Raw genomic sequence first — 12,058 nt, forward strand, 5'->3', positions numbered from 1 at the left:
TATTGCCAAATAACTGCTACTAATTGGGTCACCTGAGCCAGTGTGCCCTACCCCATTCTTAGGTTGTTCTTCTTGTACTACAGAGACCTGAGCGAATACAGGTTTTAAGGGAGGAAGAAATTGATGTTTTTGTATCCTCAAGATTTAGATGCTCAAAAATGGTCTAGCTGTCTGCCAAAAGAAACGTGGAGAAGAAGTATGCCTCTGGGGATATGGAATGCCAGGTCTTCTAACCATGCCAAGTCAATAATCAGTAAACTGATAATGTCACAAGAAGTGATGTGAAGCTGAACCCCAGGTCACAGGCTCTCAGAAGTCAGATTCAGGCTATTCTGATAATTTTAGAAAATAGATAGTATTCAATCCATGTTATAGGGATGTTTTGAACCAGTCTTCTGGTTCAAACATGAAAACAGCTAAAGGCAACTTCTTGCATCTATCCTTCCCCCACGATCCTATCCAACAGCCACATCAACATCTGGTGGACATTGTAATCAGCCTTCATAATTGGGAGGAGGAAAGTGGAATGTTAGTATGAAAGAGCAGGAAAGATGATCAGAAATGATTCGCGGGGTGGGGGGCAATTGACAATTGGAGGGAAGTTTTTCTTTTCATGTCTTTTTCAACTAAGAATAAATATATCCTAAGTTGGGAAATGAGCCACTAAAATAAGCAAAAATTAATTGAATTTACTAATTTCTAAATAATAGGTCCAAAGAGAGAGTGTTTTTTACCTTTGAAATTGGCAAAGATTCTAAACTGAGAATGCCAAGTGCTGACAAAGGTATAGTGGAAAAGGCAATCTTAGGGCACTCATAAAATGGAAGCTTGGTACAACAGTTTTGGAAACAGTCTGATGGAACATTGAGCTCCTGGAAGTTTTTCATTTCCATTGACACAGTAATACAACTTCAGAGTAGAAGACTAAAAATACGTTCTGAAATAGATAAAATATTAATGCACACGGATGTTCATCATAACATGATTCATTATTGAATAAAGAAAGATAAAGTGGAAACAACTTGAATATCCACCAATAGGGAGATAAAGAAAAAAATCATTTGTGGAGAACTTTAAATATAGAGAAATGCTTATATATGATGTTAGGAGAAAAAAGCAACATACAAAATGGTCTAAACTACGATAATATGAGTAAGAAAAATTGAATGTGGAATTGTAAGCAATTTTTTCCTTCTGATTTTGTCATGCTTTAAAAATAAAGCAAGGATTTTTGAAAGCCTTACAAAATCTCTACAATATGCAAATATTGCTTTAATAATCAGGAAAAATGGCATTCTTTTGGCTGTAATCTGAGAGTGAAAGCCTTTCCAATACTTTGATTGAGACCTCAGAATTTAAACTCTTCTCACCAGTGCACAATGCTTGATTAGCTAAAATGTTCATTTATAGCATTAAAATAATCCTCTTAGTTCACCATAGTGCATTCTACTTTCATCCTCAGAAAACTGTGCACTTGAAGGCAGAAATTCACTCATATAAACCTTCCAACTAGACTCACCAACCAATTCTCTGAAGCACAGCTCTCTGAGAAAAGAGACTGTATAAATGTTTCCTTCTGAGATTCTTTGACTCTGATAACTTTCTATAATTATCCTTTATTGAATTAAATTACCACAGCCCTGATTACCCACCCACACATAGGATTTTCAAAAACCTTCTGGAGCAGTTTCCCAAATCCTCCAGGGTTTTCTGCAGTTGCAAAATCAGAGAGTTTAGCTAAACTGGATATTGCATGAAAATACACTGTTACAAGTTGGCTTACAAAAGTTCTCTGGGAAGATTTTACTAACTATATTTTGGTGAATAAATCGAACTGGGAAAGTGTTGCAATCATTTTCTGGGATGTCTGTATCTGGGAAAGGATACTCTTGCTAGAAACCTCCACTGGGGCCCTTGAGCTGGCCTCAGGGTGTCATGGGATGGTCATCATACCTATTTGCAGATAAATTTATCATGTTCTCACAGAACCTGTTGGTCTGATAACTCAACATTGTCTTAACTTTGTGTATCCTGGATGCCTGTATTTGTCAGATATATGTACTAGAAATATCTTCTCCTAGTCTGTGGCTTGTTGATTCATTTTCTTAACAGTGACTTTTAACCATTTTTCTGAAGTCCAATTTATTATTATTTTTTCTGTTAGTTTTAGTGTTTCTTTGTGCTTTCTAAGAAATATATCCCTGTCCCAAGGTCACAACGATACTATTCTATGTTTTCTTCTAGAATCCTTATGGTTTTAGCTTTTAAATATAGTCTACGATCTATCTCAAGTTAACTTTTGTGAGGTAGAAGGTGTGGTTTAAGTTGATTTTACCCCATGCATTTGTTCAATTGTTTCAGAACTATTTTGTTGGAAAAAAAAAAAGCAACTTCACTTTCCCTATTGAATTCTCCTGACATACTTGTTGAAAATAATTTCAACATAAATGTATGGGTTTATGAGTGAACTCTATTGTATTCCACTGATCTGTTTGTACATCCTTACACCAATATCACACTGTCTTGATTATAGAACTTAATAATGAGCCTTTAAATTATGTACTTGGTTCCAGCTTGGTTCTTTTTTTTTTTTCCTCTGAGACAATTTTGACTACCCAAGGCCCTTTACATTCCCAGATAAATTTTAGAATAAGCTCTTCAGTTTCCTTCTTTTTTTTTGAGACAGAATCTCGCACTGTCACCCAGACTGGAGTGCAGTGGTGCGATCTCGGCTCACTGCAAGCTCCACCTCCCAGGTTCACGCCATTCTCCTCCCTCAGCCTCCTGAGTAGCTGGGACTACAGGCACCCGCCACTACGCCCAGCTAATTTTTTGTATTTTTAGTAGAGATGGGATTTCACCATGTTAGCCAGGATGGTCTTGATCTCTTGACCTCGTGATCTGCCCGCCTTGGCCTCCCAAAGTGCTGGGATTAAAGGGTGAGCCACCGCATCCAGTCAAGCATTTCAGTTTCTACAAAATGTCTTAGGATTTTGACAGACTGTATTAAATCCACAGATAAGCTTGAGGATAACTGACATCTTAAGACTATTGAATCTTATTTATGAACATGGTATATATTTTGATTTCTTTAATTTCTCTTATAAATGTTCTGTAGTTTTCAGGGTGGAGATCTTGTCTTTCACTGACTTTACCCCTTAATATTTTACAGTTTTAGAAATCTGTTTCAAATTACTTTAAAACATTTTTCATTCTTCTAGTGTTTGCTGTTATTAGGGTGGTGGAAAAGTAATTGCATTTTTTTCCGTTAAAAGTAATGGCAAGAATTGCATTTCCTTTTGCACCAACCTAATATTTTATGTATATGCAGTTAATTCCTGCATATTGATCATGGACCCTGTTATGTCCGGAATTGGTTCCTTCCGGTGGGTTCTTGGTCTCGCTGACTTCAAGAATGAAGCCGTGGACCCTCCTGGTGAGTGTTACAGTTCTTAAAGATGGTATGGCCGGAGTTTGTTCCTTCAGATGTTCAGATGTTCCAGCGCTTCTTCCTTCTGACGGGTTCATGGTCTCGCTGACTTCAGGAATGAAGTGGCAGACCTTCGCAGTGAGTGTTACAGCTCTTAAAAGTCACGTGTCCGAACCCCGTCTCTACTAAAAATAGAAAAAATTAGCCAGGCATGGTGGCAGGTGCCCATAGTCCTAGCCACTCGGGAAGCTGAGACAGGAGAATGGCCTGAACCCAGAATGTGGAGCTTGCACTGAGCCAAGAGCGTGGCACTGCACTCCAGCCTGGGCAACATGAGTGAGACTCCACCTCAAAAAAAAAAAAAAAAAAAAAATTGGCATGTCCGGGGTTCTTTGTTCTTCCCAGTGGGTTCGTGGTCTTGCTGACTTGAGGAATGAAGCTGCAGACACTCAGGGTGAGCGTTACAGCTCATAAAGGTAGTGCAGACCCAAAAACAGAGCAGCAGCAAAATTTATTGTGAAGAGCAAAAGAAAAAAGCTTCCACTACATGGAAGGGCACCCGACTGGGTTCCTGCTGCTGGCTCAGGTGGCCAGCCTTTATTCTTTTATTTGGCCCCACCCACATCCTGCTGATTGGTCCATTTTACAGAGTGCTGATTGGTCCGTTTTTACAGAGTGTTGATTGGTGCATTTACAATCCTTTAGCTAGACACAGAGTGCTGATTGGTGCATGTGCAATCTTTTAGCTAGACATAAAAGTTCTCCTAGTCCCCACCCGACCCAGAAGCTCAGCTGGCTTCAACTCTCACTGTGACCTTGCTAAATTTACTTATTCTAGTACAGATTATATCCAATTTACAATGATTTGACTTATGATTTTGTGACTTTACAATAGTGCTAAAGCAATATACATTCAGTAGAAATTGTATTTCAAGTACCCATACATCCATTCTATTTTTCATTTTCAGTATAGCATTAAATAAAGTACATGAAGTACTCAACACTTTCTTATAAATAGGCTTTGCGTTAGATGGTTTTGCTCAACTCTAGGTTAATAAGTATTCTTGGCACATTTAAGGTAGGCTAGGCTAAGCTATAATGTTTGGTTGGTTAGATGTATTAAATGCATTTTTGACTAACGGTATTCTCAATTTATGATGGGTTTATCAGGATGTAACCCCACCATAAGTCAAGAAACATCTATAGTTGTTTTGTAAAATTTTTAAGGCATTTTCTTTATAAACCATCATGTTATCTGCAAGTAAAGATCATTTGACTTCTTTATTCCCAATATGTGTATCATTTTTTCTTATAGTTTTATTAACATAAAGTTGTACTTATATTTATCTAAAATTTTTGATAAAGACGTTATTCACTACTAATAGTTAGGAAAATGATGGAGACTATGTCTTTGCTTGAGCCACATATCAGACAGTCACATGTCACGTGTAGATAGGAAGATATTCTGAGAAGAAAGTGGGCTTCCTGAATGCAGATTTGAGAGCAGAAACCACTCTCATTTTCTCAAGATGATGATGAAAGGCAGTTTATCTCAGCCCACATGAAGCATTTACAGATTATATTACCAGTTTTGACTAAATAAGTCTTTGAATTTTGACCAGTATTTTAAAAGGTTTTCTGTAAGGAAACCAAAGACTGAATATAAAGCACCAAGAACCAACTTCTTCCTCTCCTAAAACTAGCTCTTTGAGAGACACTTTATGAAATAAAAACAATGCTGGTTTAACCAGATCTTATGATAAGTCACCTGGAGAGGTTGACTAAGAAGGAAAGCAGCATAAGCAACCCAGAGCCTAAGCGAATATCAATTACTATAGGCTGAATGGAAGAAATGAAACACTATGGGCATGTGACCCAGAACTCAGTTGACATCAGGGAAAAGGAAGGGCGGAGAGTGTTACAGCAGCTTATTATCAACCCCATAGCATGTTTTTAAAGAAGATGAGAGAACGGTAATATTCTAGAAGTGACAACGAAAGACCCCAAATAGCCAAAGCAATCCTGAGCAAAAAGAACAAAGCTGGAGGCATCACACAACCTGACTTCAAAATATACCACAAAGTTATAGTAATCAAAACAGCATGGTATTGGTATAAAAACATACACATCAACCAATGGAACAGAATAGAGAACCCAGAAACAAATTCAGTATTTACAGCCAACTGATTTTTGACAAAAATGCCAAGAACATACTCTGGGGAAAGTACATCCTCTTCAATAAAGAGTGCTGGAAAAACTGGATATCTATATGCAGAAGAATGAAGCTAGACCCCTGTATCTCACCCTATACAAAAATAATTTCAAAATGGATTAACAACTTAAATGTAAGACCCAAAACTATAATATTACTAGAAAAAATATAGGAGAAGCACTTCAAGACATTGGCCTAGGCAAAGATTTTATGGCTAAAACTTCCAAAGCACAGGCAATGCAACCAAAAATAGATAAATGGGATTATATTAAACTAAAATCTTTTGCACAGCAAAGGAAACAATCAACAAAGAGACAAACTGTAGAATGATAAAAAATATTTGCAAACTATTCACCTGACACATGACTAGTATCCAGAATATACAAGAAACTCAGACAACTTAACAGAAAAAAAAAATCCCATTAAGAAGTAGGTAAAGGATCTGAACAGACATTTATCAAGAGAAAACATACAAATGGCCAACAGGTATAGGAAAAATGCTTAACATTACTAACCATCAGTGAAATGCACATCAAAGCCACAATGAGATATCACCTCAGCCAAATTAAGAATGGCTGTTATCAAAATGACAAAAAAATAACAAATGATGGCAAGGATACGGAGAAAAGGGAACTCATACACTGTTGTTATAAATGTAAATTAGTACAGTTATTATGGAAAAACAAAATGAAAGTTTCTCAAAAAAACTGAAAATAGAACTACCATAGATTCCAGCAATCCCACTGCTGGATATTTATTTAAAGGGAAGAAAATCAGTATATCAAAAGGATACCTGCATCCCCCATGTTTATTACAGCAGTATTTAAAGTAGCCAAGATATGAAATCAACTTAAGTGTCCATCAGTGGGTGAATGGATACAAAAATATGGTATAATACACAATGGGATACCATTCAGCCATAAAAACAGAATAAAACCCTGTATTTGCAGCAACATGGATGGAACTGGAGGTCATTATGTTAAGTGAAATAAACCAGGTACAGAAAGACAAATATCACATCTTCTCACTCACATGTGAGAGCTAATTAAAAAAGTGGATCTCGTGGAGGTAGAGAATAGAACAAGAGTTACCAGAGGCTGAAAAGGGTGTGGGGAAGTGGTGGAGGTTGGGGGGATGAAGAGAGTTTGGTTAACAGATACAAACATACAGGTAGATAGAAAGAATAAGTTCTAGTGTTCAATAGCACAGTAGGTTGACTATAGTTAATAATTTATTGTATATTTCAAAATAGCTAGAAAAGAAGATTTGAAATGTTCCCAACAGGCCGGGTGCAGTGGCTCATGCCTGTAATCCCAGCACTTTGGGATGCTGAAGCGGGTGGATCACCTGAGGTCAGGAGTTCAAGACCAGCCTGGCCAACATGGTGAAACCCCGTCTCTACTAAAAATACAAAAATTAGCCTGGCATGGTGACGGGTGCCTGTAATCTCAGTTACTCAGGAGGCTGAGGCAGGAGAATCACTTGAACCCGAGAGGCGCAGGTTGCAGTGAGCTGAGATCATGCCATTGCACTCCAGCCTGGGTGACAGAGAGAGACTCCATCTCAAAAAAAAAAAAAAAAGAAAGAAAAAAGAAAAAGAAGAAAAAGAAATATTCCCAACACAAAGAAATGATAAATGTTTGAGGTGATGGATATGCTAATTACTCTACCTTGATTACTACACATTGTATGTAACAAAATATCACATGTAACCCATAAGTATGTACAAATGTCATAACATATACATATATGTTATGTTGTACATATGATATACATACATATATCAATACAAGAACAATTAGAAAGCAAAATCAAGAATGTTAGATATTTTCATATTACATCTTAACAGAAAGAATTCTTTGAAATGATACTGTCTCATTCTTTTAACACATAATATATTCAAAATTACTAGACCAATTAAAAAACACCTCATAGTTAACTTCATTTTATTTTCTGGCTATTTCAGTCAAAAGAAAGGTTTTATTTAACTTAGCTACATAATTTACTCATGAATCAAATTATTTTGGATATTTAATAGTTGGGAAAAGTATAATCTGAAATTTGTTTAGCTTAGAAATGCCCATTGATTTTTTCAAATTCTAATAGCATTTAGAAATATTTGTTCCTTCCACTTTAAATTATACACCCCACCCCTGCCCTCCGACTCTTGCCTTCTGTTTTCAGCCATACTTCTGGAAAAATCTGTCTCCCCTCACTGATCCCATTTTCTTTCTTTTTTAAAAAAACTTTTAGGTTGGGGGGTACATGTAAAGGTTTGTTACATAGGTGAACTCATGTCATGGGAGTTTGTTGTACAGTTTATTTCATCATCCAGGTACTAAATCTAGTACCTAATAGTTATCTTTTCTGCTCCTCTCCCTCCTCCCACTCTCCACCCTCAAGTAGACGCCAGTGTCTGCTGTTCCCTTCTTTGTGTTCATGCGTTCTCATCATTTAGCCCCCGCTTATAAGTGAGAACATGAGGTATTCGGTTTTCTGTTCCTGCATTAATTTGCTAAGGATAATGGCCTCCAGCTCCATCCATGTTCCCACAGAAGCATGATCTTCTTCATTTTTATGGCTGTATAGTATTTCATGGTATATATATGTACCACATTTTCTTTATCCAATTTGTCATTGATGGACATTTAGGTTGATTTCATGTCTCTGCTCTTGTGAAGTGTTGCAATCAATGTTCGCATGCATGTGTCTTTATGGTAGAATGATTTATATTCCTCTGGGTATAGACCCAGTAATAGGTTTGCTGGGTGGAATTTAGTTCTGCTTTTAGCTCCTTGAGGAATCGCCATGCTGCTTACATTGCTTTCCACAACTGTTGCACTAATTTACATTCCCACCAAAAGTGTTTAAGTCTTCCCTTTTCTCCACAACTTCACCAGCATCTGTTTTGTTTGTTTGTTTTTGTTTTGTTTTGAGATGGAGTCTCGTTCTGTTGCCCAGGCTGGAGTGCAGTGAGGCAGTCTTGGCTCACTGCAATGCCCGCCTCCCGGATTCAAGCGATTCTCCTGACTCAGCCTCCCGAGTAACTGTGACTACAGGCATGTGCCACTATGCCTGGCTAATTTTTGTATTTTCAGTAGAGACGAGTTTTCACCATGCTGGCCAGGCTGGTCTCCAACTCCTGACCTCAAGTGATCTGGCCACCTCAGTCTCCCAAAGTGCTGGGATTACAGGCATGAGCCATCACACCTCACCAGCATCTGTTATTTTTTTACTTTTTAGTAATAGCCATTCTGACTGGTGTGAGATGGTATCTTATTGCGGTTTTGATTTGCATTTCTCTAATGATCAATGATCTCATTTTCTTAAATCCCCTTCAGTTTGTAAACCACCGTGATTTGATTTCTGCCCCACTAAGGTTCTGAAACTGCTTAATAACCTTGCTGGTACATAATATTCTTTCCTTCCTGACTTCTCCACAGCTTTTGTTGTTGTTTACCATACCCATTTAAACGACACAAACACACACACACACATTTTTCCTTACAGTCTGCAACGTGCCACTCTCCTGGTTCTCTGCCTACAGTTCCATTTTAGGTTCCCTGGCAGACTTGTTTCCCTCTCTATCTTTAAAATACCAATATTCTTCAAGGTCCTGACTTGGTCCCCTTATATGCCCTCATTTTCAAAATATTTCCCTAAATATTCTCAATCTTGCTCGTAGCTGTAATTATCAGCTTTACCCTGATGAATCCCAAGTCTCTATTTTCAGCCCAAACTTCATTTCTGAGCCCCAGATCTGATATCCAACTGCCTATTTAACTTCTCCACTTGAGTGTCCAGATTCAACACGCCTCAAGCTGGACTCACTCTCTTGGCTCCCCTCCTCCACCCCACCTGCTCATCTTCCCATGCTCCTTGTCTCACATAAATAAGAAGTTCAGTCATTCTCAAGGAATCGCCGGGAAATCATCCTTGACCCCTCTTCTTTCTCCATGTCCCACATTCAACCAGCCACTAAGCTTTGCCCACTGGACTTCCTAAATGTCTCACAAAAGCATCCAGTCCCTTCCAAACCCGCTCTATTATCCCAGTGCAAGCCACGCTCATTTCTCACTTCAAGTATGCATCTGTGTTCTTGCTGCTCTCCGTACCCTGAGTCTTTTCTCTCCTTGTTCTCCACACTGCTACCAAACTGATATTCTAACTTGAAAATCTGATCCTGACACCTCCCTGCTCAAGACCATTAGGTGGCTCTGTACCGCTCTCGCAGCGAAGACCAGCTCTCTTAGCATTCCTTACAAGGCCCTGTGGGATCTGATTGGAGACGGTGCCTCTGGCCCCTTTGCATCCTGAACTTCCCCTGTCATAACAGTAAGCGCCTGATAATATCTCCAAACATAAGCCTTTGTGCTTTGCTTTTCCCAGCATCCTTGTGCTTGCGTGACTTTTCCGTTGTCAGAGGCATCTACTTTGCCTGGAGGAGAAGGAGGATTGTTAAAGCAGGAATTTAAAAAGCAGGAAACAGTCAATGTTCAGTGTTTCTTTTTTTAAAAACTTCTAAACAGGATTTTGAATATCTGAAGATATGTCCTGAGGGAATCAGAGAACAGAGTTTAGACCGTAAAAATAACAGAAGAAAGAGGATGAAAGAAAATGAAGCCTCCCCTCCCTACCCTGCGTGTAAGTGGAGATTGGGTGGAGGAGCAGGAACGTGATGGGGGAGGGAAGTGCATGGCCTTAGAGGAGGTGGGAGTGGGAATGAGAGGCCAACCTAGCAGGACAAACACACAGCAGTGGGGCAAGCATCAGAATCGCTAACTGTATAGTGAACAACACCAGGATTCATGTTAAAGCCCAACCAATGCCTGCTAACCATTCATTGCCATTCTAGGGCATACCACACAGTACCCCAAAAGGGTGCATCTTCTCCTTGACAGTTTCCATTATAATACGTAAATTGTTGCTTTCTCATTGAAATGTGTGGGTTGCTGCTCCCTTCCATTTATCAAGCGCTTGGAATACTCCTAAGTTTTTCCTCCAACAGAAGGTGATGGGACCCTGACACCCAGGAATGAAATGGTGGAATGGAAGGGACAGTGCCCAGCACTAAGACTGGGGTATAACTGGACGGCAGTGAGAATCATTCCTATCACACGCTTATTGCACAGTGTGCTAATAATTTCCTTGCTTTTCCTATCTCCCACGAGACTGTAAGCTTATAAGGGCGGAAATCATATTGATTTTGGTCAATATTATGCCCAGTGCCCACTGCAGTGCCTAGCACATTGTGAGTGCTCAGTAGACACTGATTGGTTAAATCAACAATTTAATGAAGAATGAGTGGTTTTAAAGACATTGATTTTAAAAGACATGGATTTCCTTTAAGTAGAGAGAATATCAAGATGGTGATGGCTTTTTATCCTAAGCATCTAAGGCCTAACACTTTTAAAAAATTAAGCAAAGGGACTGCACTTTAATAATTTTTAAGTAATTTTAGACTTTCCTGCTCTGTTGTTAAGACTTTCCAGCCTTTGAGGCCTATTTATAGTCTCCTGTTACTCATCATTCGGAATGCCATATATATTTGGTATTTAAAATGATAAAGGCATTTGGAATGACATCTAGCGAGTTAGAATAAGAACTCACACCAGCATCAGCAAATTCCTTTCCTTCTATTGGCAAGAAAAAGTTGGCCATACAGGAAATTATTATGTGACACTGTTTCCCTTTGTACTTATGGTACAAACGGAAAGGTCAATGATGACCCTCCGAAGATGTCCATGTCCCAGTCCCCAGAACCTGTGAATGTTACCTTATATCACAAAAGGTACTTTGTGAATGTGATTAAGGATCTTGAGATTTTGGGTTCTCCAAGGGCATAATGAAATCACAAGAGTTCCTCTAAGAGGGCGCAGGAGGGTCAGAGTCAGAAAAGGAAATGCGAGGATGGCAACAGAGATTTGAAGATGTCATGTTGGTGGCTTAGAAGATGGAAGAAAATGCTTTGGGAGGCCAAGGCAGGCAGATCGTTCAAGCTCAAGAGTTTGAGACCAGCCTGAGCAACATAGTGAAACTGTCTCCACCAAAAATACAAAAACTTAGCTGGTTGCGGTGCAATGCACCTATAATCTCAGCTACTTGGGAGTCTGAGGTGGGAGAATTGCTTGAACCCGGAAGGCAGAGATTGCACTGAGCTGAGATGGTTCCACTCCGCACTCCAACCCAGGCAACAGTGTGACATCCTATCTCAAAAAAAAAAAAAAAAAAAAAAAAAAAAAAAGGCCGTGAAGTGCAGGAAGCTGCTATAAGCCAGCAAAGTTAAGCAAGCAGATTCTCCAGAAGGAATACAACCCTGATGACACCTTTTCATACTTTTTCTTTAATGTCAAAGCTTAAAAAAAATTGTCAAAAATTGAACATATTTAAGGTGTACAACATAATTATTTGACATA

This window comes from Homo sapiens, chromosome 6, assembly GCF_000001405.40.
Source record: "Homo sapiens chromosome 6, GRCh38.p14 Primary Assembly".
In the NCBI taxonomy this organism is placed as follows: Eukaryota; Metazoa; Chordata; class Mammalia; order Primates; family Hominidae; genus Homo; species Homo sapiens.